Source organism: Homo sapiens, chromosome 3 (genome assembly GCF_000001405.40).
Source record: "Homo sapiens chromosome 3, GRCh38.p14 Primary Assembly".
Classification (NCBI taxonomy): Eukaryota; Metazoa; Chordata; class Mammalia; order Primates; family Hominidae; genus Homo; species Homo sapiens.
In genome coordinates, this window is record NC_000003.12 from 122,045,288 (window position 1) to 122,058,478 (window position 13,191).

General features: G+C 38.5%; 2 protein-coding genes across 4 annotated transcripts in view; one reads left to right on the forward strand and one right to left on the reverse strand.

The window, feature by feature from the left end:
• Nucleotides 1-13,191, reverse strand: part of ILDR1 (immunoglobulin like domain containing receptor 1) — a 74,333-nt gene that overhangs the window by 57,965 nt on the left and 3,177 nt on the right. The window lies entirely within an intron of this gene.
• The window catches only part of CD86 (CD86 molecule), a 65,775-nt gene continuing 62,658 nt past the window's right edge, over nt 10,075-13,191 (forward strand). For all 3 annotated transcript variants that reach the window (NM_175862.5, NM_001206924.2, NM_001206925.2), the window contains exon 1: nt 10,075-10,216. In NM_175862.5, coding sequence (NP_787058.5) covers nt 10,203-10,216 — 14 coding nt within the window. In that variant the 5' untranslated portion in view covers nt 10,075-10,202. The remainder of the gene's footprint in view (nt 10,217-13,191) is intronic.

Below are 13,191 nucleotides of genomic sequence, written 5' to 3' on the forward strand. Positions count from 1 at the left end.
TGTTATAATTTCTGTTCTTTTACATTTGCTGAGGAGAGCTTTACTTCCAACTATGTGGTCAATTTTGGAATAGGTGTGGTGTGGTGCTGAAAAAAATGTATATTGTGTTGATTTGGGGTGGAGAGTTCTGTAGATGTCTATTAGGTCCACTTGGTGCAGAGCTGAGTTCAATTCCTGGGTATCCCTGTTGACTTTCTGTCTGGTTGATCTGTCTAATGTTGACAGTGGGGTGTTAAAGTCTCCCATTATTAATGTGTGGGAGTCTAAGTCTCTTTGTAGGTCACTCAGGACTTGCTTTATGAATCTGGGTGCTCCTGTATTGGGTGCATATATATTTAGGATAGTTAGCTCCTCTTGTTGAATTGATCCCTTTACCATTATGTAATGGCCTTCTTAGTCTCTTTTGATCTTTGTTGGTTTAACGTCTGTTTTATCAGAGACTAGGATTGCAACCCCTGCATTTTTTTGTTTTCCATTTGCTTGGTAGATCTTCCTCCATCCTTTTATTTTGAGCCTATGTGTGTCTCTGCACGTGAGATGGGTTTCCTGAATACAGCACACTGATGGGTCTTGACTCTTTATCCAGTTTGCCAGTCTGTGTCTTTTAATTGGAGAATTTAGTCCATTTACATTTAAAGTTAATATTGTTATGTGTGAATTTGATCCTGTCATTATGATGTTAGCTGGTTATTTTGCTCGTTAGTTGATGCAGTTTCTTCCTAGTCTCGATGGTCTTTACATTTTGGCATGATTTTGCAGCGGCTGGTACCGGTTGTTCCTTTCCATGTTTAGCACTTCCTTCAGGAGCTCTTTTAGGGCAGGCCTAGTGGTGACAAAATCTCTCAGCGTTTGCTTGTCTGTGAAGTATTTTATTTCTCCTTCACTTATGAAGCTTAGTTTGGCTGGATATGAAATTCTGGGTTGAAAATTCTTTTCTTTAAGAATGTTGAATATCGGCCCCCACTCTCTTCTGGCTTGTAGGGTTTCTGCCGAGAGATCCGCTGTTAGTCTGATGGGCTTCCCTTTGAGGGTAACCCGACCTTTCTCTCTGGTTGCCCTTAACATTTTTTCCTTCATTTCAACTTTGGTGAATCTGACAATTATGTGTCTTGGAGTTGTTCTTCTCGAGGAGTATCTTTGTGGCGTTCTCTGTATTTCCTGAATCTGAACGTTGGCCTGCCTTGCTAGATTGGGGAAGTTCTCCTGGATAATATCCTGCAGAGTGTTTTCCAACTTGGTTCCATTCTCCCCATCACTTTCAGGTACACCAATCAGACGTAGATTTGGTCTTTTCACATAGTCCCATATTTCTTGGAGGCTTTGCTCGTTTCTTTTTATTCTTTTTTCTCTAAACTTTCCTTCTCGCTTCATTTCGTTCATTTCATCTTCCATTGCTGATACCCTTTCTTCCAGTTGATCGCATTGGCTCCTGAGGCTTCTGCATTCTTCACTTAGTTCTCGAGCCTTGGTTTTCAGCTCCATCAGCTCCTTTAAGCACTTCCCTGTATTGGTTATTCTAGTTATACATTCTTCTAAATTTTTTTCAAAGTTTTCAACTTCTTTGCCTTTGGTTTGAATGTCCTCCCATAGCTCAGAGTAATTTGACCGTCTGAAGCCTTTTTCTCTCAGCTCGTCAAAGTCATTCTCCATCCAGCTTTGTTCCGTTGCTGGTGAGGAACTGCGTTCCTTTGGAGGAGGAGAGGCGCTCTGCATTTTAGAGTTTCCAGTTTTTCTGTTCTGTTTTTTCCCCATCTTTGTGGTTTTATCTACTTTTGGTCTTTGATGATGGTGATGTACAGATGGGTTTTCGGTGTGGATGTCCTTTCTGTTTGTTAGTTTTCCTTCTAACAGACAGGACCCTCAGCTGCAGGTCTGTTGGAATACCCTGCCGTGTGAGGTGTCAGTGTGCCCCTGCTGGGGGGTGCCTCCCAGTTAGGCTGCTCGGGGGTCAGGGGTCAGGGACCCACTTGAGAAGGCAGTCTGCCGGTTCTCAGATCTCCAGCTGCGTGCTGGGAGAACCACTGCTCTCTTCAAAGCTGTCAGAGAGGGACACTTAAGTCTGCAGAGGTTACTGCTGTCTTTTTGTCTGTGCCCTGCCCCCAGAGGTGGAGCCTACAGAGACAGGCAGGCCTCCTTGAGCTATGGTGGGCTCCACCCAGTTGGAGCTTCCTGGCTGCTTTGTTTACCTAAGCAAGCCTGGGCAATGGCGGGCGCCCCTCCCCCAGCCTCGCTGCCGCCTTGCATTTGATCTCAGACTGCTGTGCTAGCAGTCAGCGAGATTCCGTGGGCGTAGGACCCTCCGAGCCAGGTGTGGGATATAATCTCGTGGTTCGCCGTTTTTTAAGCCGGTCTGAAAAGCGCAATATTCGGGTGGGAGTGACCCGATTTTCCAGGTGCGTCTGTCACCCCTTTCTTTGACTCAGAAAGGGAACTCCCTGACCCCTTGCACTTCCCAAGTGAGGCAATGCCTCGCCCTGCTTCGGCTTGCGCACAGTGCACGCACCCACTGGCCTGCGCCCACTGTCTGGCACTCCCTAGTGAGATAAACCCGGTACCTCGGATGGAAATGCAGAAATCACCCGTCTTCTGCGTCGCTCACGCTGGGAGCTGTAGACCGGAGCTGTTCCTATTCGGCCATCTTGGCTCCTCCCACCTATTTCTTTTTCTTACCCAATTGTTTGGCTAGGGCATCCAGCACTGTGTTGAATAGAAGTGATGAAGTAGGCAGACTTACCTTGTTCCTCATCAAGGAAAAGCTTTCTGTTTTTCACCATTAAGTGTGATGCTAGCAGTGGGATTTTCACATATCCCCTTTATTATGTTGAGGTAAATTCCTTCTTTCCTTCTATTCCTAGTTTGTTGAGGGTTTTATGATGAAAGAGTGTTAAATTTTACCAAGTATTTTTTCTGTGTCTATTGAGATGACCATATGATTTTAATGATGTACCATACTAATTTTCATATGTTGAATCATCTTTGCATTCCAGGGATAAATCCCACTTGGTCATAGAGTATAATCCTTTTAATGTACTATAGAATTTGGTTTGCTAGTATTTTATTGCAGATTTTTGCATCAGGGATATTGGCCTGTAGTTTTCTTTTCTTGTAGTGTCTTTTTCTGGCTTTGCTGTCAGGTTAACACTGGCCTTGTAAAATGAGTTTGGAAGTGTTCTATCCTCTTCAAATTTTTGGAAGAGTTTGAGAAGGATTAGTGTTAATTCTTCTTTAAATGTTTGATAGAATTCACCAGTGAAGTCATCTGGTCTTGAGCTTTTCTTTAATGGGAAGCTTTTGATTGATGATTCAATCTGATTACTAGTTACAGGTCTGTTCAGATTATCTATTTCTTTATGATTCAGCTTTGGTAGGTTCTGTTTCTAGGAATGTGTCCATTTCTTTTAGGTTATCCAATTTGTTGGAACGTAAGTGTTCACAGCAGTCTCTTACAATATTTTTTTAATTTCTGTGGCATCAATTGCAATGTCTCCTGTTTCATTTTTCATCTTATCTGAGTCTTCTCTTTTTTTTTATAGAGACAGGGTCTTGCTACGTTGCCCAGGCTGGTCTTGGACACCTGGCCTCAAGTGATCCTCCTACCTTGGGCTCCCAAAGTGCTGGGATTACAGGCATAAGCCACCATTACGCTTTAATCATTATTTCCTTTCTCTGCTAACTTTGGGCTTAGCTTGTTCTTCTTTTTTTAGTTATTTAACATGTAGGGTTAGATTTTTTATTTGAGATATTTTTAATATGTTTATTGTTATCAACTTCCCTCTTAGTATTGCATTTGCTGCATTCCATAAAGTTTGGTATGTTATTTTCTTTGTTTCTAGATATTTTCTAATTTCCCATTTGTTCAAGAGTATGTTGTTGCATTTCCACATATTTGTGAATTTTCCAATTTTCCTTCTAATATTGATTTCTGGTTTCATTCCATTGTGATTGGAAAAGGTACTTGGTATTATTTCAATCTTAAATGTGATAGGACTTGTTTTGTGATCCAGCATGTGATCTATTAAAAAAAAATGTTCTGTGTGTTCTTGGGAAAAATGTGAATTCTTCTGCTATTAGGTAGAATGTTCTGTGTATGTTTATCAGGTCCATTTGGTCTATAGTGTCGATCAAGCCCCTTGTTAACTAATTGATCTTTTGTCTAGATGTTCTAACCTTTATTGGAACTAGGGTATTAAAATCCTCTATTATTATCATGTTGCTGTCTATTTCTCCCTTCAGTTCTGCCAATGTTTGCTTCATATACTTAGGTGTTCTGATGTTGGTGCATATAAATTTATCATTGTTATATCTTTCTGGTGAATTGAACCTTTTATCATTATATGATGTCTTTCTTTGTTTCTTTTGACAATTTTTGATTTAAAGTCTGTTATGGTCTGAATGTCCCCAAAAATTCATGGGTTGAAACTTAATCCCCATTGTGGTGGTTTTAAGAGGTGGAGCCTCTTGGGACGTGATTAAATAATGAAATATCTGCCTTCATGGATGGATTATAGCCTCATCAAATGCCTAGACAGAACTAGCTTAGGCCCTTTTTTCTCTTCTACTCTTCCACCATGTGAGGACACAGCAATTCATCTCTTTTTGTCCTTCTTCCACCATGTGAGGTTACAGCAAGAAAGCCTTCACAAGACTTGAATGCCAGAACCTTTGACTTCCCAATCTCCATAGCTGTAAGAAATCAATTTCTGTTATTTATAAATTACCCAGTTTCAGATATTTTACTACAGTTGCACAAACAGACGAAGATAAAGTCTATTTTATCTTTTGTAGGTATGGCTACTCCTGCCCTCTTTTGGTTATCATTCGCATGGAATATTTTTCCATCCTTATACTTTCAGCCTATGTGTGTTCTTAAATCTAAAGTGAATCTTGTAGACAGTGCATAGTTGGATCTTATTTTTTTAAAACTCATTCAACTGTGCTATGTCATTTGGGCAGCTTAGTCCATTTATATTTAAAGTAATTATTGATAGAAAAGGGGTTACTATCAACATTTTGAAATTTGTTTTTTGTGTTGTAGCTATTCTGTTGCTCTTTTTATCTCTTGCTATCTTCCTTTGTGTTTCATGGATTTTTTATGGTGACATGATTTTATACCTTTCTTACTTTCTTTTGTGGAAATTCCATAGGTATTTTCTTTGTGCTCACTGTGGGACTTACATAAAACAGCTTATAGATATAACTATCTTTTTAAAGCCGATAAAACTTAAATTCAGCTTCATATAAAAACTTTGCTTTTACTTCCCCCCCCCCACAGTTATGGATGTCACAAATTATATTTTTAATAATGTACAGCCATTAATATATTTTTATAATTATAATTACTTCTATGCTTTTGTTTTTTTTAACTTTTATACCAGAATTAAGTGATTTACACAATACTGTTACACTATTACAGTATTCTGTACCTGTCTATATATCTATCTTTACCAGTTAGCTTTATACTTTCATGTTTTTGTATTGCTGTTTAGTATCTTTCCATTTCAACTTCAAGGACTCTCTTTAGCATTTCTTGAAAGGCAACTCTAGTGATGATCTTATTCTGCTTTTGTTTGTTTAGGAAAGTCTTTATTTCTCATTTTTGAAGGCTAGTTTTGCCAGAGAGAGTATTCTTGGTTGGCTGGTTCTTTTCTTTCAGCACTTTTAATACCTCATCCCATTCCCTTTTGTCCTTCAAAGTTTCTGCTAAGAAATCCATTGCTAATCTTATAGGAGTGTCCTTGTATGTAATGAACTGCTTTTCTCTTGTTGCTTTCAAAATTCTCTTTTTGGCTTTCGACAATTTGATTATAATGTGCTTCAGTGTCTATTTGTTTGGGTTCATCTTATTTAGGCCTATTGGGCTTCTTGGATCTGTAGTCCATTTTCTCCCTCAGATTTGAGAAGTTTTCAGCCATTATTTCTTTAAATGAGCTCTCCAACCCTTCTCTTTCTTGGACTGCTCTAATAGATATATTGGTACATTTGATGGTGTCCAATAAGTCTCTCAGGCTTTCTTTACTTATTTTCTTTGTTGCTATTTTTATTGTTCCTTTTTGCTCCTCTGGATAATTTCAAATGACTTGTAATTGAATTGCTGATTATTTCTTCTGCTTGATCAAGTCTGTAGTTGAACCCCTCTAGTGAATGTTTTAGTTCAGTTAAAATTGCATTCTTTGGCTCCAAAATTTCTATTTGGTTCCTTTTAATATTTTCTATCCTTATTGAATTTCTCATTGGTTCATGCATCACTTTCCTGAACTCATTGAGCATCAATATGATGGTTATTTAGAATTTTTTGTCAGATAATTCATATACCTCTGTTTCTTTAGGATCTGTTTCTGGAGACTTATTTTGTTTCTTTGACTTGACCATTTCCCGTTTCTTCATATTTCTTAGAACTTTGTGTTGGTATCTGCATATTAAAAAACAAAACACACAAACAAACAACAACAACAACAACAAACCAGCCACTTCTTCCAGTCTTTACCAGCCGGCTTTGTACTGGGAAAGACCTTCATAATCTTTAGCCTGGCTAAAGATTCTGGGGACCTCTCAAACATTTTCTGTGGATACGTTTTCTCTGGGCTTATGCACGTAGATTCCTAAGTAGAGAGATTTTCTGGCTTCTCTTTTTTAAGAGTTCATTATCTCTTGCTCCATCTGTTGTCTATCTTCTATAGTGTGTGTCCTCCAAAGTAGCAGCACACTGTCCAGCTCTTTTTTTTTGATCTTGGCAGCCCCTAGTCTTCTAGAGTATGTTAGACCTTCTCTGCCTTAAGTGGGGCTACATGGAAACCAGTCCCTTTGGCAGCCCTTTGAAAAGCCAGAATTCTGGACACATGTTCTATTTTTCTCTTGCCCTCCTGAAGAAGAGGGCACTGAGCTGTATTGGCCTCTGCTGTGCCACAGGTCCTCTGAAATAGCATCATGCTATTTAGCTCTTTGGTTTCTTTTCATGGGGCCCCAGGCATCTAGAGTATGCCAGTGATTCAAGACAGACAAGAAAGAAACCAATCCTATGGGCATCTCCCCATTTCCCCAAAAAGCAGGAATATTGGTTGCATGCTTCACTCTTTTCCATGTCCCCTAGGGATAGGCCACTGAACTGTATCAGTCTGTATCTGCTGTAGCAAGAACCCTCTAGGACAGCAATATATCACCCAGTATTTTTTTGTTCTCAGTGTCCCCCAGGCATCTAGAGTATGGTGGGTCCTATAAACTCTCTAAGACAGGTAAGACAGAGGCTAGTCCCTCAGGCAGCCCCCAGGAAAGTCAGAACTTTGGTTTTTTGTTGTTGTTGTTGTTTTGAGACGGAGCGTCGCTTCTTCGCCCAGGCTGGAGTGCAATGGCGCAATCTCGGCTCACTGCAACCTCCGCCTCCCGGGTTCAAGCAATTCTCCTGCCTCGGCCTTCCAAGTAGCTGGGAGGAATGTGCCAGCATGCCTGGCTAATTTTTGTATTTTTAGTAGAGATGGGGTTTCACCATGTTGACCGGGCTGATCTCAAACTCCTGACCTCAAGTGATCCGCCTGCCTTGGCCTCCCAAAGTGCTGGGATTACAGGCATGAGCCACCGCGCCCGGCCAAAAAGTCAGAACTTTGGATATATGGTCTAGTCTTCTCATTTCTTCTTCAGGGAGAAGCCAAAAACTGGGAATTTCCTCCTAACCATGTGGCCCTGTGCCGAGAGGACAGACTATGGTGAGGGTATACCGTGAATTTTCCTACTGGCTTCAGTGCAGTTGTTTTTTTTGCTCACCTAGTGTGATGTAGCCTCTTAGCCAGCTTCTGGATTTCTCACAAAAGGAATTGGTCTGTGTATAGTTAAGTTAGTGTCTCTCTGGGAGGGAGCACAGGCTGGGGTTTCTCATTCTGCCATCTTGCTGACGTTCACTGTGGTTTTGATTTGCATTTCCCTAATGACTAGTGGTTTTGAGCACATTTTCATGTGATATTGGCCATTTCTATATCTTCCTTGAAGAAATGTCTGTTCAACTCTTTTGCCTACTTTTTAATTGTTTGTTGTTTCTTCTGCAAAGTTGTAGGAGTTTTTTTAATCATATATTCTGGATATCAATCCCTAAACATTTATTGTTTTAAGGAAATAAATTTTGAGATAATTTGTTATACAGCAATGGATAACTAATAAATACTAAAAACTCCTAAATGTATATACTAAATATATTAATTAGAAAATTGTAATATAAAAATACTAAAAGCTAAAACTGTCTGATATTAGGAAGATAATTTTACTACAATATATACCTTTTTTGTGTGTATGAGACAAGGTCTCATTATGTTGCCCAAGATGTTCTCAAACTCCTGGGTTCAAGCAATCTTCCCACCTCAGCCTCCTGAGTAGCCAGGATTACAGGTATGTGCCATTACAGCCAGCTTTCACAGTGTATACTTGATGTACTATTAATGTACTATTTAATGACTACTAAAAAGTTTATGATAACAGGAGAAAATGCTTATGCTATCTTAAATAAAAATTTGAGTGTATGCATTGATACCAAGAAATGGAAATTTGAGTGTGTACACTGCTACCAAGAAACTGAAAAATGACATCCCATACCTTTAATATTTAATATTTATAACAAATGAGGTTTACATGGATTTTTTTATCTCATCTTATTTCTGATGTGTTATGTAGTTATAAATACTATTTTATTTGCACTCCTGCTCTGCAATAATTTTGAAGATAGATAACTTATATTATTGCTGTCTTCATTTTTTAAAATTCTCAAATCCAGATGAAATTATCAAAGTTGATAAAATAATCATTGTTCTATCTTCTTATTTGAAGATTAATAATTGTGTTGATTTTGCTTCCTTGCTCTAGTTAGCAGTGATGTCATCTGCTATTTTTAAACTTCCTTGAAATAATATATGTAATCTACTTCTAATAAGTTTTTCTTATTTAGCATTTTGGTCTAAACTAATTTATAATTATTTAGCCTTATTTCTCCATGTTTAACTTGCTTTAAAGCTCAGCACTGGTGTTTTCAGCCATGGCTTCTCCATTTTAAGGCTATTTTAATTCATTTATTATTCTGGAATATATCCTTAAATAATTTATTTAGGAAGGCTGTCTTGGTGGTGGTATTTCTGTTGCAGTTGTTGTTTTCTTGCCTGCTTGGTGACATATTTCTATTGACTTGACACTTAACTGGCATCTTATCTAGGTAGATAATGCTAATTCAAAATTCTGCAGATATTGTTCTGTTGTTTTTTGCCATTTAGGGTTGAGTAAGATGCCAAGTTGTTTTTTGTTTCTCTGTAGTCATTCTGTTTTCATTTTGTTTTTAGCTTTGCCTTTGGAATTTAAAATGTTCAAAATGATTTGTCTGGATGAGAATCGATTTTCATAACTTTTGCTTTGATACACTAAACAGTTTGAGTTTCTAGATGATGCCCATTTTAATTCATACGAGGAAATATCTTCTAGTATAGTTTCTGCTTGATTAATTCTATGTTTGTCTCTTAGGGACATCTATTAATTTTATAATGCTGCCTTTTTTTCAGACTTCTGTTTCAGAATATTCGCTTTCATCAATGTAATCCTTGGCTATAGTAGGAATGAAATAATAAAAGCAGTAGCTTCTGTCTGCCCTCCTTGGTTATGCAGTCCTTACAGAACATCTCCCCATCTCCCATCCCCCCACCCCAGCTCAGTGAAACTCTCCACACTTTGGTTGTGGAAATTGGCAGGGTTAGGTGGCTACTCACTCCCAATCCACATCCACAATAAATCACTTTTTATTATCTTATCAAAATCTGTAGAATGCCTCTTTATTCTATTTTGTTGCTGCGGAGGTTTGTTTTCTCTTTCTAATTATTTTATTTTCTAGGTTTTTTGAGGGAATTTCAAGAGGGGAGATTTTTTATTCAGGCTCATCTTAACGTCATGTCTGGAACTCAAGCTACTGAATTATATATTCTTTAATACATATAGACCTACGTCAATGAGTTTAAACTGCAAGGAAAGGGTTAAATTTCTTCCTCAAGTGTGGTCAAAATCTGTAGAGAAAAGAGGAACAGCTTCTCTTAAAGAAAGTTAGCTGGGTAGGTATACAGTCATTGCCGAGGAAGGCTTGCACAGGGTGAAAGCTTTGCTTCTCTGCTGCTGTAACAGGGACTAGCACAGACACACGGATGAGTGGGGTCATTTCCAGATATTAGGTCACAGCAGAAGCAGCCAAAATGGATCCCCAGTGGTGAGTAATAATTCTTATTCTTTGCAGAGAAGTTATGAGTTGTGACTGCAGTGAAAGGCTGAGGTTGAAGATGGTGCTTTGATGTGTGTCCTTCACTTAGTTCCTAAGTGGAGAAGCTTTCTTTTTCTACAAAAGATCTTTGGCACATAAAGGCAAGAATTATTTGCAATGCCCAAAGCAGTTCATTGGTGGTAGTTATATATATTTTTAGGTGCCTAATTTTGGTTTTGTAAATCTGTTATTCAAATACTGAATGTTACAGTCATTGATTTTAGTGAAGAATCAGGAATTTTTAAAATATCTGCATAAGAATGACAAATAACAGGGAATATGTTTTTTGTCTACCAGGGTCAGTTTGGTCTGAGGGTGGAGGAATGAGATAGAGAAGGTAGAGGGAGAGAGATCAAGAAAAAGAAAGAGAAAAAAGAGGTATAAGGAGAAAATGCAAAACTCAGTTAATATGTCATAATCAGGCCATGGGAGATTCTGGGCAGGGTTGGGTAGTGGAAGGAGGTAGAGTGATTAAATTAGTTACCATGTATTGAACATGCATGATGTGCTGGGTACTTTACTAGTGCTATTTCATTGAATTTTATTCTTCACAATGACTTTTGGAAAGACATCATCATTCTTTTTGACAGATGGGGTAACTGTGGCTTAAAAAACTTGCCCAAGTTCACACTATTCATAAGGGGTAGAGCTAAAATCTTTCCTGCCCGCTTCGTGGTGCGCCAGAAGGTTTCTCCATGCTGTGGAGACTTCCTGGAAGGAGTCACACCCGCCCTTCTCTTGGGTGGTGGCAGCTGGCGCCAGTCACTATGTATTTATTTATTTTTAATTATTTATTTTTGAAACAGAGTCTCGCTCTGTCGCCAAGCTGGAGTGCAGTGGCGCAATCTCAGCTCACTGCAACCTCCGCCTCTCGGATTCAAACGATTCTCCTTCCTCAGTCTCCTGAGTAGCTGGGACTACAGGCGCCCACCACCACGCCCGGCTAATTTTTGTATTTTTGGTAGAGACGGGGTCCACCATGTTGGCCAGGATGGTCTCGATCTCTTGACCTTGTGATCTGGCCACCTCGGCCTCCCAAAGTGCTGGGATTACAGGCGTGAGCCACCGCGCACCCGGCCGTCACTATGTATTTATAATTACTGTTCTTTGAAAATCGAAGTAACTTTCATCTACCCAGTGCTTACTGGTTTGAGAAAAAGCTTTGTTGCTTTTATTTCAGAAGATTAAAATTTAATTTTCCAGTAAAGATTCCTTTTGCTCCAGTGGAATTTTGAAGCGTTATACTTGTATGAAGAAAAAAAGAATTTCAAAATTTATAATTTTTGTGGTACCATAGAGGGGATACTACTTAATTATGCTAGCACTGTCTGCAGAGGTCTAAAAAACCATAGGCTGCTGTCTATATTGAACTTGTTAAGATTCCTTTTGTTTCACAGTGCCTGAAGATTGGTCATGAACCAGTAATAGCCATTAAACAATGTCTGTTCTCATAAGAGATGAAATAAATACAAATTAAAACAACAGTGAAGTATCATTTTTTCTCTATCAAAGAGATAAATATTAAGTTTTAAAAAGCAAGCAATCAAGAACCCTCTATCTTGCTAAGAAGGGAGGATTATTTGTACCCTAGTTGCGCACTAGTGGTGATATCATCTTTCTGGACAATAATCTAGTGATACATATCAAAAGCCTTTAAAATGTATATGCCCTTTAACCAAGCAATTCACCTTTTAGGAATTTATTCTAAGATATAATAATACATGTTTGTAAAGTTTTAGTGATGGATATTTTTCTTGCTATTGTTTCTAATAAGGAAAATCTTAGAAACAATTTACGTGTTTAAAAACAAGTGATTGGATGATTATGGAACATCCATAATGGAATACCATGTAATTATTTAAAATTCCACTGTAGAACAATTCATAATGTGTTTAGTTAAAGGGGAAAAATGCAGAACGAACAGTGCTATCACTTTTATACATGATACATGTATACAAACAATATTAATCAGAAATATAGGTAGTTTGTATTTTCTACTGTGTGCTTTTCAATTTGAATCCCATCTGTAGGCAGAAAAATAAAGTTAAATATTTAAGATTTAAAAAAAACAATAGCTGGTTTTTTTCAGAGAAGTAACCATCTAGTGATGTGTGATAATTTATAAGTTGTGAGATTCCATAGTTAGGGCTTTAGCCCTTTGCATTTATCTTTCTTCATCTCTTGAATCCTCTTCAAAATACACCCACTCTACCCATAACTCATTAGATCTTGAAAGGCATGTTCTGATAGAATTTTATATTTAGAACAGGCTGCAGCACTCTTCCCTTATTTTACAGAAGTGATTGCATGGCTCTCTAGGGTGAGTTGCATATTGAGAGGGAGGACAGTGCAGTGGCTAAGTGGCCGCACATTGAAGCCAGGCTGCTGGGGTTTGAATACCAGTTCCCCAACTTCCTAGCTATGTGATTTTGGACAAGTTGCTTAACCATTGTAATTCCCAGTTTCTTGTCTGTAAAATGGGAGTATGGTAATATGTCGTAAAGTAGTTGTGAGATTTTAATGAGATAATCCATATCCTGCTAAGTACTCAGGAATTGTTAGTAGTTTTTATTACTATTACTGTTTGGATTAAGAAACAGAGGAAAAGTGATTTGTCCAAGATTATACAACCACTTAATGGCATTACTAAGAACAGAATGGAGGAAGGTTTTTTCCAGCAGAAATGTTCAGTATCCTCTGTGCCTGGCAGGACAACCCCAAGTTGTGCTTTTGGGATGGAGGAGCTGATCTAAAACAAGCAGTACCCAGGACAAGGCCAGCCTCCAGGGAGTGACTGATGACAGTGGGAAGCCAAATGGTAGAAAGGCAGGTGAAGTTAAGGAAACTGAGAGTCAACTTAGGAGCAGGAATGAAGCCTGGAGCAAAGAGCTAGTGCAAGAGAGAGCAGATGACTCAGAGCTACT